Raw genomic sequence first — 20,998 nt, 5'->3', positions numbered from 1 at the left:
GTTGCTTGTTCATTCTCCCATAGTGGCACTAAGGCTAATTGAGAAGCCCAATTACATTGGTTTGGTTTTTTTATTCTTGTATTTTTCAGTCAATTTGGGGAGAAAAATTTAGGGGCTGAATGTTATCTGTAATGGAGGTAGGGCTGGATGGGCAACTTGGGAAATATATTTCTCTCTTCCTGGAGAGCTGAAGACATTCCTAAGTCTTCTTTTGTAAACAGAAGAGCAGATCTCACTCTTTAGACTTTTAATGTGCATCTTTGACACCATCTCTTACCATCTGTTAGGTTAAATTAATATTTTATGTTTATTTTTTTCTCAAAATAGAACCCTGTTTGTTTACCCATTACCGATAGAAATAACACCATTTTGCAAATAATGCTATTTAAAATGGAACGGTAGTTTTTATCTCTCAGCTTCATCATGACTCCAGTGGATTAAAAATCTTTGAATTTCAGATTATTAAAACTAAACTGCTGTGTTTGTTTTTCTGTTTGTTTGTTTGTTGTTTTCTAAACATCTTTTAATTTACTATATTATGATTTGATAGTCACAGATATCCCAAGATAAGGGCAGTTGTTAAATCTGCATTTAATAGATAAGCAGTTAGGGTTCAGAGAGACTTAATATGCTTAAGAGAGCATCTTAAGAGAAGTAAATTAAGAATTTAATTAAGAGAGCTTCTGTCCTCTGATCCCTAGTCTTATTGCTTTTTCTACTAAATAATGCTATCTTTCCAAGAAGAGAATGTGCCCAGCCACTTTAGTCATTTTAGAGAATTTGTACAAAGAACCAAACCCAGTTATTTAGAAAGATGAGTGAGAAGCACAGTATTATTCCTTCTCATTTTTTTCTTATTGTGAGATAGATCATACATACAGAAAAGTATGTAAAATATATAAATAGTTTAAATACCTTTAAGTGAGAAAAGTATGTAAAATGTATAAATATTTTAAATACTTTTAAGTGAAAACCCATGCAACTACCATCCAGCTAGAAATAGAACATTACAGGATCACAGAACCCTGCCTCCTTCCCTTGCGTGGTCCTTCCTGGTTGAAACTTTACACCTTCCAAAAGCAAACCACCATTTTGACTTTCATGATAATAATTTCTTTGCTCTTCTTTTACCTTCTTCACATGTCTTCCTAAAGAATACTGTTTAGCTTTGTTTTTGTTTCTTTTGCTCAGCATTACACTGGTGAGACTCATCCATGTCTTTCCCCTTTAATTGTAATGTACTATCCCATTGTATGAATGTATCACAGTTTATTTGCTCTCGATGGGTTATTTCCGCATGGGCCTATTGCAAACAGTGCAGAACATTCTTCTGTTTGTCTCCCAGTTCACACACGCAAATTTCTTTAGAGTGTATACCTGGGAATGAAATTTCTGACTTACAGAAAATGCGTATCTTCAGTTTTAACAGATGATGTCAAACTGTTTTCCAAAGTCAATGAACCAGTTTACATTCCTGCTGTGTATGAGGGCGTCCATTAATCACATCCGTACCAACACATAGAATTATCAGACTTACGTTTTTTACCAGTTTAGAAGTTGTACTTTTTATGTGTAGCTCCTTGATTATTAAAGAAATTGAACACCTTTTTAATATGTTTATTGACCATTTGGATTTTCTCTTATGACATGGCTATTCAGGTCTCTTGCCTATTTTTCTGTTGATTCATAGTTATTTTTTATATATTTGGAATACTCATACTTTGTTAGTCCTTGACAATTCTATATAAATTTCAGAATCAGCTTGTCAAATTTAACAGTTTGATTGGGATTACACTGAATATAAAGATTAGTTTGTAAGAAATTGGTAACTTTATAATATTGTCTTCCAGTGCATGAACATGTTATATCTTTCCACTTATTTTAGGTCCCTTAAATGTGTCTCTTGCCCTAGTCTATTTCGTCTGATATTAATATCACTACTTTAGTTTTCTTTTACATATGTTGACATGATAGGTTGTTTACCATCTTTTTAGTTTCAATCTTTATATATCTTTATGTTTCACATGTTTCTTATAAACAGCATTTAATTGGAGGTTTTTTGGGTTTTTTTGAGACAGAATTTTGCTCTGTCACCCAGGCTGGAGTGCAGTGGTGCAGTCTTGGCTTACTGCAACCTCTGCCTCCAGGGTTCAAGCCATCCTCCCACCTCAACTTCCCAAGCAGCTGGGACTACAGGCATGTGCCACCACACCCAGCTAATTTTTGTATTTTTAGTAGAGAATCGTCATCATGTTGCCCAGGCTGGTCCTGAACTCTTGACCTCAAGCAATCCACCTGCCTCAGCCTCCGAAAGTGCTGAGATTACAGGTGTGAGCCACCGTGCCTGGACTAATTGGATTATTTTTAATCCAGCCTGGCAGTCTTTGTCATTTTCAGATGGAGCATTTGATTCTTCTGATTTACTATGATTTGTCACACATTTGAGTTTAAATCTACCATTTTATTTTGTGTTTTCTCTCTGTCTCCCCTGTTCCTTTTCACTCTTTGGAGGAGAGGGGGGTTTCTTCCTGTATTGATTATTTTTGATATCTTACCATTCCATTTGACTTGACTAGTCTGGAAGTATACAGTCTTGTTAAATATTCTTTTAGTTGTTATCCTAGAAATGAAAATATAACTCATAGTCATTTTTATCAGTCTAAAGTTAATTCTGCTAAAAGTCCTTTGAACACATTTGAATGCCATTTTCATCACTCTACACTTTTATGTATTATTGTCTTGTATAATTAAGATACAAGTTAAATAAAATATAATTAAACTTTTTTCTGATACAATTTTGTTATTGTTTAGGGAATTCATTGTTCATTTGCACCTTCCACTGTCTTTGCTCTTCTTGCATCTCAGCTATTTCCTAGTTACTTTTCCTTCTGCCTTCGGAAGGTCCTTGAGTGAGAGTCTGTGGTGGTAAACCCTCTCAATATTTGCTTGCCTGAAAATGCTTTCATTTTGTCCTCAATCTTGAAAGATGCTTTCTTGGGATAGAATTCCCAGGGCATTGAGGATACCATTCTGCTGTCTACTGGTTTTCTTTATTGCCACTGAAAAATAGTAATACTCTTTGAAGGGTTTTTTTTTTTTTTTTTTTTGCTTTAAAATTGTTCTCTTTGACTTGATTTTCTGTAGTTTCACTATGAAATGTCTAGTTGCGAATTTCTTTTTAAACTGTCTAGACTATGTTTGATTTCTTGAATCAGAAGATTGGTGTCTTTCAGCAATTCTGGGAAATTGTTACTTGTAATTTCTTCAGATATTGCCGCTGTCTCTTTTTCTCACCTTTTCTTCTGGACCTCCTATTAAATGTATGATAACCCTTCTCCCGTTAATCCCTCATGTTCCTTATCTTGTTTTCTATTTTCTATCTCTTTGTGCTAAGTTCTCAGTAATTTCTTCTTATATATGTTTTAGTTCAATAATTATTTTTTCAGTTTATCTAAAGTCTGCAGATTTGTCTCTACTCTCTATTTCTATACCCTTTTTCCTTGTATACCTGATTGTTTTTCACTTTGAACTAGTCATTATTCTTGGAGAAGTATGTGTGGGAATTCTTTGAGGCTCAAACCAAAAAGTACATTCCTGTAGGGATTTGCATTTGCTTCCGCTAGGCAGAGACGTCAGACAGTGATAAATGCTGCCAAGAAAACTTAAGTCAGGAAGAAGATTAGTGAATATGGAAGGTGGAGGTTGCAGTTTTAAGTAGGCTGGTTAGGGAAACCCTCACTGCGAAGTTGACATTTGTGCAAAGACCTAAAGAAGGGAATGTCAATTTTGTGGGCCCCTAAAGGAAGGGTATTATCAGGAGGAGAAAAGCCAAAAGGCCCTGAAGTGAGAACATTCATGAGTGTGAGGTCAGTGTGACTGTTAATAGAGGAGATTAGTAGGAGGTGATGTTAGGTGATGGTAGGGAAGAATAGGCATTTAGGGCCTTTGAGTCCTTCTTAAGGACTTTAGCTTTTTACTCTACATGAGATAGATTGCCTCTGGAAGATTCTGAGCAGAGGACATTATCTGACTTAAGTTCTAAAAGATTATCTCTGGCTTAGCTATATTGAGACTAGGTTGTAGGGGCCCAAAGGCAGAAGCCGGGAGAACATTTAAGAGGCAGTTACAAATAATCGAATTAGAAAATATGTGGTTACCTGAACCAAGGTAGTTGGGGTGGTAGTGAGAAGTGGTAATAGTTTGGATATATTTTAAAGGCTAGAGCTGATGGATTTCCTGGTATAGTGTAGAGAAAGAAAGGTGGCTCTAAGCTTTTTACCATCAACAAATGCAATTGTGATTTACTTGGAATGGGCAAGACTCTGGGAGACTCATTTCTTGAAGATCAAGAGTTTACTTCTGAGTATATAAACTGTAAAATGTTAGACATCCAGGTGGAGATGTCAAGGACATATGCCTGGAGTTTAGTGGACAGATCCAGCTGAGGTTATAAATATGAGAGTTGTCAGTTTATAGATGGTATTTGAAGCCATGAGACTGGATGACTCAACTAGGGAGACAATATGGCTAGAGAAGATTTAGGGAATGATGAACTGAGAAACAACCAGCAAAGGGGCCTGAAAAGGAGTGGCCAGTGATATGTAAGTCAGAATAGTATTTTATAGGGAGAAGACCTTGATCTACCATGAGAGCTACTGCAGCCATATTCGCCAAGATAAGGACTGATAGTTCACCTTTGCGTTTGGCAATATGAAGTCATTGATAACCTTAAGAGAGCAATTTTGCTGCAACATTGTGGGTAAAAGACTGAGTAGAGTGGATTCTGCAGGAAAACAGGAGGGAGATTTAAGGCAGTGAATGTACATTGGTCTCTCAGTATCCGCTGGAGATTGGTTCCAGGACCAACCCTTCTCTAGATTACTTATAATACCTAATACAATGTAATCTTAAGTAAATAGTTGTATTATGTTGTTTTTTTATTTGTATTATTCTTTTTTATTATTATTTCAAATACTTTCGATCTGGATTTGGTTGAATCAGTGGATGCGGAACCCATGAATATTGAGTGCCTACTGTAGAAAACGTTTTAAGAGGAATTCTGGGCCGGGCGTGGTGGCTCATGCCTGTAATCCCAGCACTTTGGGAAGCCGAGGTGGGTAGAGTTCAAGACCAGGCTGACAAACATGGAGAAACCTTGTCTCCACTAAAAATACAAAATTAGCCGGGCGTGATGGCGCATGCCTGTAATCCCAGCTACTTTGGGAGGCTGAGGCAGGAGAATCGCTTGAATCCGGGAAGCAGAGGTTGCGGTGAGCCTAGATCGCGCCATTGCACTCCAGCCTGGCAAAAAGAGCAAAACTCTGTCTCAAAAAAAAAAAAAAAAAAAAGGAATTCTGCCCTCAAGGGAGCAGAGAAATGATATGGTATTGCTAAAGGGTATGCTGTTTGTTTGTTTTTATCCTCGGAGGAGTAAACTTGTTTTTTATTGATGGAAATGACCTGGTAGAGGGGAAGAATTGCAACAGCAATGGCCTTGAGTGGGTGAGACTGGAAGGGATCCAGTGTAGAAGTAGATAGGCTTTCTCTAGTTCACATAGAATAGGAAGGAAGACCTTAAGAAGCCTAATGTAGGTGAATGAGTAGGTATTATGGTAAAAAGTTATAGAAAGTCTCTTGTGATGGATTTTTTTTGGGTTTTGTTTTGTTAGGTAATTAGGAAACATGGTCATTAGGTATGGTTAAAAATGGAGGAGGCAAAGAGAAAGGTTTTAAAGAAACACAGAAATTCAAATAAACTAGGGAAATAGAGGATTGCCATGTAAGATATTTGAGTAAAGCAATATATAATGTGGTGTCTGGCACATACAAATAAATGCTTTTTTAAGGGTAGCTGTAAGTTATATTAAAGGTAAGTTTATTCTTTAGTTTTTCCTTTTTGAATACTTTGACAGATTGTAGGGTTGGGGTTGTGCTGTCTTAAAATGAACTGGGAAGTTTCTCTTTCTATACTCTGGAGTGGTTAAGAAGTATAACAGAATTTTCTGTTTCTGAAGATACAACTTTAAAAGTACCACAAATTTATCTGAATGTAGAACTTTTTCCAGCGATAGTTGTTTTGAGAACATTTCCAATCACTACATGTTATTGTCCTGTCAGTTTTTTACCTCTTCTGGAATCAGTTTTGGTCATTTGTTTCCCATTTAATTTACTTCTCAAATTCATTAGTATCAGCATAAAGAGTCTTTATAACTTCTAATAGCTTTGATTTAAAAATTTTTTTTATCTTGTACATTTGTGTTTATATCCCTTTTTCCTTTTTCTTCTTTCTTTCTTTCTTTTTTTTCTTTGAGACAGAGTCTCACTGTGTTGCCCAGGCTGGAGTGCAGTGGCACAATCTCGGCTCACTGCAACCTCTGCCTCCAGGGTTCAAGCGATTCTCCTGCCTCAGCCTCTCAAGTAGCTGGGATTACAGGCATGAGCCACCCTGCTTGGCTAATTTTTGTATTTTTAGTAGAGACAGGGTTTCACCCTGTTGGCCAGGCTGGTTTTGAACTCCAGACCTCAGGTGATCCACGTGCCTCGGCCTCCCTAAAGTACTAGAATTACAGGCATGAGCCACCACGCCCGGCCTATATATCCCCTTTTCCTTGATTAGACTTGCCGGAAGCTTTGCTTTCTTATCTTTTTCAAATCCTTGGTATATTCATTTTTATTTTTTCCGTTTAATAATGAAAGCAGTTAAGACCATTAATTTGCTTCTTGGTACAGATTGACCGCATTTTGTAAATTATGTCTTGTATTGTTCTCATTGCCATTAGTTTGAAATGCATTTTTTAAAAAGCCAGATTTATTATGGTATAATTTATTTACAGAAACTTTTCTAGGTTTGCAGTTGGATGAGTTTTTACAAATGTACAAAACCACCACCACAATTGAGATACAGAACATTTTCATTACCCCCAGAAGTTTCTGCAGGCCCCTCTGTAGTCAGTCCTTTCCCCAACCCCTGACAACTACCAGTCTGATTTCTGTTGCTGTGATTTTGCCTTTCCAGGATATAAATAGAATCATATGGTATGTGGCCTTTTGGATATGGCTTCTTTCACTTACCATAATACTTTTAATATTTATCCATGTTGTTGCATGTAGCAATAGTTCATTCCTTTTTATTGCTGAGCAGTATTCAGATACATGGGCGTACAACAATTTGTCTGTTCATAAGTTGATGGACATTTGGATTGTTTCTGGGTTTTTGGCCATTATGAATAAAGCTGCAATCATACACGGTTTTGTGTGACATCTCTTGGTTAAATACCTAGAAATGGAATTGCTGGGTTGTGTGGTAAACACTTACTCTGTTTAACTTTGTAAGAAACTGCCAAACCGTTTTCCAAAATTGCGATACCATTTTACTTACCCACCAGCCATATATAAGAGTTTTAGTTCTGTATCCTTGCCAGCACTTTGTGTTGTATGGTTTTGTAATAGTGTGTAGTGGTATCTCATCATGGTTTTATTTTGCGCTTTCCTAATGGCTAATGATGTTGAGCATCTTACAGGCTTATTTGTCATCTGTATCTTCAGTGAAGTGCCTATTCTAATATTTTATTCTTTTTTTATTAGGTTTTTTTGTCTTTTTGTTATTGTTATTTATATATTCTTGATATTAATCCTTTATCAGATGTATGTTTTACAAATATTCCCTCTCAATATGTATCTTTAGTATCTGTCTTTTAAAAAGAAGTTTTAAGTTTTGATAAAATCTATCTAGTTTATTAATGTTTTTTTCTTTTATAGGTTGTATTTTATCTAAGAAGTCTGCCTAATCCAAAATCACAAAAGTTTTCTCCTAAAAGTTTTATAGTTTAAGTTTTATATATAGCCCTGTGTGATCCATTTTGAGTTGACTTTTGTGTATGGTACAAGGTAGGCATCAAGGTGCTTTGGATAGCCAGTTGTGGCACCATTTTGTGGGGAAAACTTTTCTTTCCCCATTGAATTACTTTAGCATCTTTGTTGAAAATCAGTTGACAATATCTGTATGGATTTATTTCCAAATTCTATTCTGTTCTATTGGTCTGTGCAAATAATACACTGTCTTGATTACCATCGTTTTATGGCAACTCTTGGAATCAGATAGTGTGAGTCCCCTACCTTTGTATTTCTTTTTCGAAATTGTTACGCTGGGTGGGATGTGGTGGCTCATGCCTATAATCCCAGTGCTTTTAAGAGGCCAAGGTGAGAGGATCACTTGAGGTGAGGAGTTTAGGAGTAGCCTTGGCAACATAGTAAGACCCTGTCTCTACAAAAAAAATAATTTTAAAAATCAGCTAGGCATAGTGGTATACACTTACAGTCCTAGCTACTTGGGAGACTGAGCTGGCGGGATCGCTTGAGGCCAAGAGTTCAAATTTGGCTGTTCTAGGTCTACTGCCTTTCCATGTAAAATTTAGAATCAGTTTGTAAATTTCTATGAAAAAAAAGGCTGCTGGGATTTTTGTTGGTCTTTACATCTAAAGATCAATTTGGGACGAATTGACATCTTAATAGTATTGTGGTTTTTTTTTTTTTTTGAGTTGGAGTTTTGCTCTGTCACCAGGGCTGGAGTGCAGTGGTGTGATCTCAGCTTACTGCAGCCTCCACCTCCCAGGTTCAAGCCATTCTCCTGCCTCAGCCTCCCAAGTAGCTGGGGTTACAGGTGCGCACCATCACCCCCAGCTAACTTTTGTATTTTTAGTAGAGATGGGGTTTCACCATGTTGGCCACGCTGGTCTCAGACTCCTGATCTCAAGTGATCTGCCCGTCTCAGCCTCCGAAAGTGCTGGGATTATAGGTGAGAGCCACTGTGCCTGGCCAATAGTATTGTGTTTTTTTGATCCATGAACATGGTACATCTCTCCCTTTTTTTTTTTTTTTTTTTTTTCTGTTTGGAGATAGGTTTCACTCTGTTGCCCAGGCTGGAGTGCAATGGTGTGCAGTCATGATTCACTGCAGCCTCAGGTGATCTCCCACCTCAGCCTCCTGAGTAGATGGGACTACAGGTACACGCCACCATGCCTGTCTAATTTTTGTATTGCTGGTATTTTGCCACATTGCCCAGGCTGGTCTCAAGCTCCGGGTCTCAAATGATTTGCCCACGTCAGCCTCTCAAAGTGCTAGGATTCCAGGCATGAGCCACTGCACCTGGCCTATCTCTCTCTTTTTTTTCAGCTCTTCTTCAGTTTCTCATCAGTGGTATTTTTGTTTTGTTTTGTTTTTTCCATAGGTTTTTGGGGAGCAGGTGGTGTTTGGTTACATGAGTAAGTTCTTTGGTGGTGATTTGTGAGATTTTGGTGTACCCATGACCCAAGCACTATACACTGTACCCAATTTGTAGTCTTTTATCCCGCATCTTATCAGTGGTTTTTATTTTTATTTATTTATTTTTTGAGACAGGGTCTCACTCCAGTGCCCAGGCTGGAGTGCAGTGGTGCGATCACGGCTCTTTGCAGTCTTGACCCCCCAGGCTTAAGCGATCCTCACACTTCAACCTACCAAGGAGCTGAAACCACAGGTGCACACCAACACCCAGCCAATTTTTGTATTTTTTTGTAGAGGTGAGATCTCGCTATTTTGTCCAGGCTGGTCTCAAACTCCTGGGCTCAAGCAGTCTGCCTGCCTGGACCTCCCAAAGTGCTGGGGTTATAGGCGTGTACCACTGCGCCAGGCCATATGGGTGGTTTTTAGTTCAGCATACAAATCTTGCACATATTTTGTTAGATACATTCCTAAATATTTCATGGTCTTAATGCTACTGTAAGTGATTTTTTTTAATATCCATGAGAGCAATTTTTATTTCTTCTTTGACCATGGCATTAGTTTAATGTTTTCTGCTTTTGAAGTGATTAATTTTCCATATTTGTTGGTGGAATTTTTGTTGTTGCTTTTTGTCATTCTTAAAGTTTATTTGTGGCCCATTGTAGGATCACTTTTTGTAAACAGTTCAGGGGTTTGAAAAGAAGACATTTTTTTTTTGTTTTGCTTTGTTTTTGAGATGGAGTTTTCCTCTGTTGCCCAGGCTGGAGTGCTGTGGTGCTATCTCAGTTCACCTCAGCCTCCACCTCCTGGGTTCAAGCGATTCTCCTGTCTCAGCCTCCTGAGTAGCTGGGATTACAGCTGCCCACCACCATGCCTGGCTAATTTTTATATTTTTAGTAGAGATGGGGTTTCGCCGGGTTCACCAGGCTGGTCTTGAACTCCCAATCTCAAGTGATCCACCCACCTTGGCCTTCCAAAGTGCTGGGATTACAGGGGTGAGCCACCGCATCCGGCCAGAAGACATATTTTCTATAAGCTCTGTTGACTCTTATTTTATTGGTGATATTACTTAGGTATACTATATCTTAAATTAGTTTTTTTCTCTTGTCAGTGTGTGAAATTTTGATAGTCTTTAGTTTCTCACTCCAGTTTATATTTTTCTTAGTTCATTTGGGCTGCTGTAGCAATACCATAACCTGTGTTGCTTACAAATAACACAAATTTATTTCGGACATTTCTGGAAGCTGGGAAGTCTAAAATCATGACTCCAGCAGATTCAGTGTCTGGTGAGGGCCCACTTTCTGTCTTCTTGCTTTGGCCCTCACATGGTGGAAGGGGTGACCACACTCCCTTGTGCTTCTTCTGTAAGGTTACTTACCCCATTCATGAGGGCTCCTTCCCTATGGCCTAATCACCTCTCAAAGTCCCCACCTCCTAATTCCATCAACTTGGCGGTTAGGATTTCAGCATAGGAATTTTCGGGGAGACACAAATATTCAGACCACAGCAATATCTAACCATTTCAATTAAAAAATATTAGGGCTGTCTTATTCCATAGAGAGTTTTATCTGCATAAAAGAATCTTCTGTTCTATTTGCAGCCTTGGCCTCATTCATTTTGTTAATATTGCCACTTGCTTGTTTTTCTTTGCATGTATCTTTTGTCTTTGCCAATTTTATTATCCGTTTAACCTTTCTCTGTCATCTAGGTATGATCCTTATAGTTAGATTTACCTCTTTTGATGCTGAAGTTATTGCTGTCAGGTAAAATAAAGAAAGAAAAAACAGTTTACCTCTTTTGACTTAATTCGAGTCTTTAAAAATGTGTACCATAAGTTGTTTACATTTATTGGTATAACAAGTTTTTTTGCTTATTTCTTCCATCATTATTTTATGCTGTCTGTAATGCTTTCTGTTTCCTTTGTCCCATCGCTTTTCTTTGCTATTTTGATCAAGTTTTCTTTGTTCTTGTCTTCCTCTAGTGAGTTAAAAGATTTTAATGTGCTAATTAGGCATAATTATTAACATTAAGAATGAAAATTATGATGGCTGAAATGTTGCAAATTTTAAGAGGCCTAATTCTCTTTTCTGCTGCCATTCATCTTCCCCTCACCCCATATCATGTTAAAGTAATCTGGAATCTAATTGCCAGTTATCTTTTTTTTTAATACTATGAAGTTTCTTTTTTGTAATAATTTTTAAAAATAATATTTGCATTGAGCTTTACAACCACATTAACAATTAGTTAAATGCAATTGTTTTGTTGATTCACAGCTTACTATTATTTCTTCATTATACCATATCTTATCTTGAATTTTTATTCTGATTTATGTTTCTTATGGATTTTTGTGTTTTGTTTTGTTTTTTTTTTAATTGAACATACTTTTTTTTTAATGTTTGTTTCTTCATGAAGAATTTTTTTCCTCTGGGCACAGTAGCTCATGCCTGTAATCCCAGTACTTGGGGAGGCGGAGGTAGGCGGATCACTTGAGGTCGGGAGTTTGAGACCAGCCTGGCCAACATAGTGAAACCTCATCTCTACTAAACAAAAAAAAACTACAAAAAGTAACTGGGTGTGGTGGTACGCACCTGTAATCCCAGCTACTCAGGAGGCCGAGGCAGGAGAATTGCTGGAACCAGGGACGCAGAGGTTGCAGTGAGCTGAGATCACGCCATTGCACTCCAGCCTGGGTGACAAAAGCAACACTCCATCTCAAAAAAAAAAAAAAAAAGAGAATTTTTTTTCCATTGCAGCTGAATCCTGAGCATGTTGATTTTAATTAAACAGATGTTGTCAATTAATCATTTTTTATAGCCTAGATATATTTTTGAAAATACTGAAATACAGCAGGGGAAAACAATTCTAACGATTTAACCTTTTCTAAAGTAATAAGGTGTTGATTTTGAATTTGAATTTTACTCACAATTACCAAGAGTGATTGTATAACAGGTTTTTTACTTATTTCTTCCATCATTATTTTACAATTACCAAGAGTAATTGTAGGGCTTCCCTTCTTCCTTCTCTCCTTTTGTCTTTCCTTCTCTCCTTTTGTCTTTCCTTCTTTTGTTACTTTCTGCCTTTGTCTCAGCCAGTCTTATCATTGCTGGTTGTTTTTGAGTTTTAGTATTTCAGGTTCACATTGTGTCCATTTCCATTGCTACTTTTTCTGGTTTGTTGGTTAGTATTATAATTTTCAGATGGAATCAGATATTTCAGGTTTAAATGAATAGCTTTCATTCTGTATACCTTTAAAAACCTGAAAGAAGGAAGGGCCTAAATCAAGGTCCAAGTATATTATTATTATTACGGTAGTCAAAAACGATAGTTTCATAGGAAAAACATTTTTTAGTGTGTTTATATTTTTCTTTAGATTTTTTTGATGCCATGCTGGGATAAATAACCATCTTAGCTTGTGTTAATCTCTATTAATAGTTTACAATATCTGATGCTGTAGTCTTTTTTTTTTTTTTTTTTTGAGTTTTAGTCTCACCCTGTCACCCAGGCTGGAGTGCAGTGATGCCGTCTCAGCTCACTGCAACCTCTGCCTCCTGGGTTCAAGCGATTCTCCTGCCTCAGCCTCCCAAGTAGCTGGGATTACAGGCGCCTGCCACCACGCCTAGCTAATTTTTGTATTTTTAGTAGAGACAGAGTTTCATCATGTTGGCCAAGCTGGTCTCAAACTCCTGACCTCAGGTGATCCACCCGCCTTGGCCTCCCAAAGTGCTGGGATTACAGGCGTGAGCTGCCGCACCTGGCCTGTAGTCTTACTGGAAGAGAATATTTGATTTATGCAACCTCTCTGTTACAGAGCAAAGTATTATTTGTTCCAGATAGTCTCAAAGATGTAAATTTTATTTTTAGCATTATCTCTTCTGAGAGCTTCTAATTTGTACCTTACCTGTGACTAGGAGGAGTAACAAGTTCAGCCTGAGAATTAGTTCTTGTAATAATCTTTTTCTTTGCATAACTGCAAAGGAGACAGAAAGTTTTGAGGTATTCTGTCTCTGACAGAATACTTTCAAACATAACATTTTTCTTTACTTTAAAGATTATAAACTCCTTTTTACTATACTTTTCTGGAACATATCCCTGGTGACCAGTCCTATTCCAGGGTGTAGGAGAAGCCCCTATTTAGGGATTGACCCAGACAACAATAATTCAGGCCAGAGCCTCTAGTTGAGTAGTGAGTTAAGCCAGTAGAGAAGGAAATGTAGACCAAATAGTTAGTGAAGAAGGCAGTGGTAATGAATGAGACAGAGGACTCCATTTGAAAAGACAGTTTTTCCTTTTTGTTATGAAAAATGGTCCTGGTAACAATTTTGTAATAGGTAATGTCCACGAACCAGATTTTATATGGAAATGTGATTGACGTATCATTTCTGGGGAACTTCATGATTTGCTCTGTTAAGCTTACTGATTTGGATTAATGAACGTTTAAATCAGTGTTTTTTAATTTTATTATTATTATTTTTAAGACAGAGTCTTACCCTGTTGCCCAAGCTGGAGTGCTGTACCACAATTGTAGCTCATTGCAACCTCAAATTCCTGGGCTCAAGTGATTCTCCCATCTCAGCCTCCCAAGTAGCTAGGACTACAGATGCGCCCCACCACACCTAGATAATTTTTAAAAAATTTTTAGTAGAGATGGGACCTTGCTATGTGCCCAGGCTTAAACGAATATTTATTTACTGAGACTGCTTTAGGTTCCCAATAATGTGCTAGATGACAGAAACAGAATATAACATTGTAAATAATTTTATCACAAGATTTTCTAATATTCAGTTTTTTAAATGGTAAAATTCTTCTTATTTAAAATTATTAATATTATCATTTTATATAAAATCTCTCACCTAGTTTATTACCACAGAAGGCTAAATATCTGTTATACATAGAGCAATCTGAGACATAATATGGAATACATATAAATATAGAACATAGTTCCTAACTTCTGGGGCTGTTTGGTTTAGGATATTAGTCCTAATCACAAGCTAATTAACAGTACAAGGCAGGCCAATTTAGGTAACAAAAAGTGAACAACGGAAATGGCCTAAGTGCTTGAATAAATAAATATAAATTATAGTATTAAATAATAATCACTTTTTTAAAATGCATTCTTTTGAACTTCAAAAACAGCATCTATATCTGCTTTTATTTCCTCATCCCCTGCTCTTTCTTTCATACACTTGCATTTTGATCTGTTTTCCTGTCACTGTGCTTAGGCACTTTACATTTGGCACTGTCAACCTGCCCCTTCTCTTGGCCTCTTTGGCACTTAACTGTCCTCACTCATTCATAACACTACCTAACCTGCACCTTCTCTGTATTCTTCACTGCCCTTTTTCTTCCAAGTTGAGTCCATGGCTCTCTGCTTTCTACCATTTATTCTGTCATTCTTATGGCCTTTCTTAATGCCAGTTTGCAGGGCCTCCAACAATCTAGTCCTTTTACCTGAGCTTCTACATTGCTCTCTAACATAGTAGCCTGTATGGGTCACAAAGTGCTTTGACTTTTAGTGGCTTTGTAATCTTACAGACAGTAGATGTTACCTCACTTACATTTGATTTTTAATTTTAATTCAGTTTTTTAAATGCCAACACATTCATGTGGTCAAAATTCCAAAACTACAAAAGGATGTATAATGACTGTTTCCCGCCTACTGTTCTCTCATCTATGTAGCTCCTTTGCCCAGTGGCAACCAATATCTATTTTTTTGTATATTTTTCTAGAGGTGTTTTTTATGAAAATCAACAGTTCTTTACAAATATTTACCCCATTTTACAGACAAAGAAGTTGAGACTCAAATATTTCAGTAATTGGCTCAGATCACAGAGTTGGTAGGTGGTAGAGCCAGAATTCTGATGTGAGTCTTCCAGTTAAAAATTTGCTGTATCTTAGATTCCAAATGCCTGGTGGATATTTCTTCTTGGACTTCATATCTCATCCTATTTTCTGTCCTTTTTCTAAAATTGGTTTATCCCCCATAAATTTCAGTCTTTTAAATGGAATCTGGTTACTAGATTTGAAAGTTTGTAATACTTACTGAATCCTTCTTATTCATTTCTTGATATGTAATCTCTTTTAAAATGTCTGTCATACTCATTCACTAGTCTCCATTCCTGCTACCAAGTTCTAGTTCAGGCCATCATGACCACCTGCCTGGATTACTGCCAGAGGCTATAGGTTGGCATCCTTAACTCTCAGTTCTCTTTGTTAACTTTATTTTGTTTACCATTTGCCAGAATTATCCTGCCTAACACTTTAGATGCCATTATTCTCTCCTCTGGCTTCTTTTTTTCCTTTTTCATCAGGTTTTAATTATTCTGCCTAACTTTTAAGGCCCTATATCATCTGGCCTAATCCCCCCCATCTTACTTAGCCTCTATCCTTTTGAACATATCTCCTCTTAGGCCAAAATTAAACACCCCATATTCTGGCCTAATTGCCAGAGTATGTGTATGCATTACCTAGACTGTCTTCCCTTCAGTTACCAGAAACATACTGCATCTTTCAGGTCTATTTCCATTCCTTTCATGATAATTTTTGCTGCTGCTGCTGTTTTTCTTGTTAACTAGGTTTTTCTTTCAGTCAAAAAAGTATTCATGTATATGACAAAAAATTTCTAGAGCTCAAAAGTATACCATGAGTGAAATATGTCATCTCTTCTCAGGTCTCCTCTGCAGAAGTGATCACTGTTAATAGTTTCTTATGTATCCTTCCTAAACTTTTTCATCAATATGGAAACGTGTATGCCCCATCTTTTTTTCTTTACAAGTGAAAATACACTACGTGCATGTTCTAAACCTTTTACCTCTTAATATGGGGGAACATCTTATATTAGCAGCTAGATCTACTGCATTTTTTTTTTTTTTATCAGCTGTGTGCTACTTCCTTTATATACCCAGTTCCCCACTGATGGACATTAGGGTTGTTTCTGATACTTTCACGGTTACTGTTGACATTTCTACATTGAATAGTTTGTAAAAAAATCACCTTTGTGAGCATAAATTTTCAGAAAAGAAATTTCTAGGTCTAATGATGGATATTTAAAAATTTTTGAGAGTTAATACCAATGACTCACCAAAGAGATTTACACCATTTTACTCTTCTGACAACAATGAGAGCACCTATTTCCCCATATTCTTCAGTGTTATGTATTATCAAACTTTAACCTTGGTCAATCTGATAGGTAAAAAGTGACACATTTTAATTTAAAATGTTCAAAGTATGAATGAGGTTAGACTATTTAAAAGACATTTGTTTACATTCTTTCTATGAAATACCAAATTTTTATTGAGTTTTTGCCTATTAGTAAGAACTTTTTTTTTTTTTTTTTGAAACGGAGTCTTGCTCTGTCGCCCTGGCTGGAATACAGTGGCGCGATCTTGGCTCACTGCAACCTCTGTCTCCTGGGTTCAAGCGATTCTCCTGCCTCAGCCTCCTGAGTAGCTGGTACTACAGGTGTGCACCACCACACCCGGCTGATTTTTGTGTTTTTAGTAGAGACAGGGTTTCACCATGCTGGCCAGGCTGGTCTCGAACTCCTGACCTCAGGCGATCCTCCTGCCTCGGCCTCCCAAAGTGTTGGGATTACAGACGTGAGCCACTGTGCCCAGCCAGAACTTTTTATATATTAAGGTTCTTGGTCCTTAATTGATGTTATATGATGTGAATATGTTTTTCTAGGTTTGCCAATTATCTTTTTACTTTGTATTGTTCCATGTTACCTCATAGTACTTTTTACAGTTTTGGTTTTTTATTTGCCATAAAAAAAAAAACAGGGATATAGTTTTATTTTACCAAATGACTGGTTAATTGTCTTTGTAGTTTTGATTAACTGGTATCTTTAATTTAAAATGCCATTATCATATATTAAATTCTAGTATATATTTGAATCTATTCCTTGCCAGTTTTTCTGGATGTTTTCTGATTTTTATTTTTCCACATGATCTTTAAAATCAGATAATCTAAATCATCCTGCAGTTTTGTTGACAATTTTATTGATGGTCATATTAAATTTATTTTAACCCTTTCTGAAATGTTATTTTTAACTTTTTTCCTTAGACTTTAAGTTTTGCTTATTTTCTGAACCTTTATCTTTGTGGGAGAATGGAAATTAATTTAACAAAACAGTTATTTGACTTGTTATATTACATGCAGTTATATGATACAGAATCATGTGATAAAGGATAAGGCAAGAGTCACTGTACTGTGATTATGTATTCATAGTTCACTGCATTGAAAGAAAAACTAGCATCTTATTTTTGGTAATACTTCAAACTACCTGGTCAAGAGTAGAGTAAATGCCAGAAATGGGAGGAAGATAGCTCTGTTCACTTAGAAACCAGATAGAATTCCATATTCCCTGTTATTTTTAAAAATTACACATATATGAAATAATATTCATATCTCTCCTAAGCAAAATATGGTGGGGGTTTCAGAATAGTTTTACATTTACAGAAAAATCGAGACGATAGTACACAGGGTTCCCACATTCCCCCACCATTTCCCCTATTATTGACATGTTACAATAGTATAGTACTTTTGTTATAAATGAACCAATATTGATACATTGTTATTATTAACCAAAGTTCATTCTTTATTCATAATTCTTTAGTTTTTCCCTAGTGTCGTTTTTATGTATCAACATAGTTTACATTTAGTTATCCTGCCTCCTGAGGCTCCCCTAAAGAGTTTGGAAGTTTGACCTAGTGCTTTTTTTGTTTTTTTTTTTTTGAGACAGGGTCTTGCTCTGTCCCCCAGGCTGGAGTGCAGTGGCGTGAACATGGTTTATAGCAGTCTCGACCTCCTGGGCTTGAGCGATCCTTCTGCCTCAGCCTCCCAAGTAGCTGGGACCACAGGCACGTACCACCATACCCAGCTAATTTTTCGAATTTTTGTAGAGACAAGGCCTCACTTTGAGCCCAGGCTGGTCTCAAACTCCTGAGCTAGAGTGATCCTCCCACCTCAGCCTCCCAAACTGGTGGGATTACCAGAATGAGCCACTGCACCTGGCCTCGATTTAAGTTTTTTAACATGAAAAAAAGTCCTTAATATATAATTTTTCTAAAAGCCAGAAAATGTAAATGGAGTAGACAGTTTAGAAGTATATTGATGTTTTAACTTCTATATTCATTTCTCTTCTGCATTCCAGGCACTTTGTGAGTGTGCCCTCCAGACTCCTTATGACAGCTTAAAACTAGGGATGTTGTCTGTCCTTTCCACACTATCAGGGACCATCGCCATCAAACATTACTTCAGTATAGTTCCAGGTAAGGAAAAGACAGGAGATACCATATAAATAATGTGCTAACTCCTTTATCCATATTTATGTTTCAGGTTGTTTCTTCTATAAAGCTTTAACATCAGGGAAAAAAATCTCATACTCCATTGCATGCTAGTGATTTATTTGAACATGATTTCTTAACTAATGCCTATGATAACAACATCTCGCATCCTTGATCTTAAGTCAATAATATATTTTTCTAGGTTTGTCCTTTTTTTTTTGAATTATATGTGGGTGAAAATATTTTTGAGGATGCTTAAAATAGTTGGTTTGCTTTTGTGTATCTCTGACTCAAAGTGCCCTTTGAATTTAAGTACATTTCAAAGGTCAAGTAGTAGTGAGTTTTAAAAGCAAATGTCATATGCTTCCTTTTAGGTGCATATTATTTCTCTGGAAAACAATTAAAATAAAACTTGACTCCAGCCCAATAACACTTTCCTAGTTACCTATTCAAGATGATTAACTCTAAAATGCTTTCATTAATGCCCGGTAAGGAGCTTGCTTACCTAACAGACTTAAAGCTAAACTTTTTTGTCATTTTGGGTTTTTTTTTGTTGTTGTTGTTGTTTTGTTTTAAGACAGAGTCTCACTCTGTTACCCAGGCTGGAGTGCAGTGGGGGGATCTTGGCTTACTACAACCCCCACCTCCTAGTTTCAAGAAATTCTCTTGCCTCAGCCTCCCGAGTTGCTGGGACTACAGGCGCCCGCCACCATGGCTGGCTAATTTTTGTATTTTTAGTAGAGATGGAGTTTCACCATTCAGCCCAAGCTGGTCTGAAACTCCTGGCCTCAAGTGATCCACCCACCTTGCCCTTTCAAAGTGCTGGGGTTACAGGCATGAGCCACTGTGCCCAGGCTGGTTGTTTTGTTTTAATGCAAGTTTTGCGGAACCTCTATTGCTTCCTTTTGTAGTCAGTTAGTTTGAATTAAAGAACTGTAATGTACATTTGTTTGTCCCTTTTATGGCCGCATAGTATATGATACTTTCTAGGTGTAGGGAATTCCCTGCCACGTAAGTCTTAATAGGAAGCTAAAAAGACCTGATACTCCGTTGTCACACCTCCCTTCCAGCTAGTGTGCTTACATGTGGCTTGGACTCAACTAATCATTTCCATGCCACAGACTGAATTGGGAGCCAGTAACAACAAGAAAGTAGGGATATGAGAGAATGGGGATATGGTGATGTAGCAATGACAGAGCAACATTTGTTTCCAGAATATACTCTAGCAGTGGGTGTTTGCTATGTCTGGTACCCTGTAACAGAAGTTAAGCTGTGACATGAAATAATCAGTAACAATGGCTGCTGTGTCCTCACTGGACTAATTCCATGCATGGTCTTTTGGGCTGTGGTCTTGGTTGCTCCCTGGCGTTTTTCTTATTTATTTTCTGACCTTGTTTTTCTATTAGTTTTGCAGGCTTTCCAGTGATTCTCTGAAGTACATTATCAGTTATCTATTGCTACATAACAAAATCACCCCAAACCGAGTAGCTTAAAACCATGACCTTTTTATTTGCTCTAATTATGTCAATCAACCATTTTGACTGTACTCAGGTGGGCAGTCCTATTGGCCTCACTTGGGGTCACTTGTGTGATTATGGTCATGTATGACCAGGATTGGATGGTCTAAGACGGCCTCATTCACATGCTAGAAATTGAAAGGCTTTCTGCTGAGGCACCTTAGTTTTTATCCATGTGACTCTTGGTGGGCTAACTTGGGTTTGTTTTCAGGATGTTGGTTGGAGCCAAAAGAAAGCAAGCCACCAACACAAAAGCATTTGTCAACCTTTTGCTTGCAGCCTGTTTTCCAATGCTTTATTGGCCAAAGCAAGTCACATGGAATTGGAAGATCACATGGTAAAGGAGCATGTCCACAAGGGATGTGAGAAATTATCACAGCCTTCTTTATAAACAACGTACCATATACCTAGGGTGCTTTCAATGTATTCTTTTTCTGCATAAATCACCCAGTGTGTTTCTTAGCTTGCAGTTAACATCCTTCACCAACATTGCACTTTGAAAGAGCTGTGATAGACAAAGTCTTAATCATATAATAGATGAGAGCTTTCCCATACAAGTAGCCTTTCAAGTGAGGCATATGCAAAGGAGTTTATAAGTATTGAAACTGAGACTCACAAAGGTTTGACGGTATGTCCAAAGTTCACATAGTTGTGAAGTGTCTGAGCCTAGGCCTGAACTCAGCGGTCTGACTCAGAATTCTCTTTTTTGTACCAAACTGACTTACATGCACAATAACTTTCTTTTTCTTTATTTTTTAATTCCAAAGACATGTATTAGCATTATGTTGGGTTATAATACTTAAACACTTTTCAAGCTAGGTATTTGTCCTTTTATTGAAGTTTGTTAATTTTGGCTTATATATGGAATTAAGCAAAGGCTTAAATAAATAGATAATATTTATAAAAAATAAAATCAAGGATTTTCCAAAGTTACATTAT

The 20,998-nt window shown here is 37.1% G+C and overlaps 1 protein-coding gene across 7 annotated transcripts in view; it reads left to right on the top strand.

Annotated features, from left to right (window-relative positions):
• INTS7 (integrator complex subunit 7) overlaps positions 1 to 20,998 on the top strand; it is a 95,155-nt gene that overhangs the window by 29,145 nt on the left and 45,012 nt on the right. For all 7 annotated transcript variants that reach the window (NR_037667.2, NM_001199809.2, XM_047417179.1 and 4 more), the window contains one exon: positions 18,410 to 18,527. Coding sequence is in view for 6 of the 7 variants with exons in the window: in NM_001199809.2 (NP_001186738.1) it covers positions 18,410 to 18,527 (118 nt within the window). In the remaining variant the exon portion in view is untranslated. The remainder of the gene's footprint in view (positions 1 to 18,409; positions 18,528 to 20,998) is intronic.

Source organism: Homo sapiens, chromosome 1 (assembly GCF_000001405.40).
Source record: "Homo sapiens chromosome 1, GRCh38.p14 Primary Assembly".
Classification (NCBI taxonomy): Eukaryota; Metazoa; Chordata; class Mammalia; order Primates; family Hominidae; genus Homo; species Homo sapiens.
The sequence above is the reverse complement of the archived record's forward strand: the minus strand, read 5'-3'. Positions and strand labels throughout refer to the sequence as shown.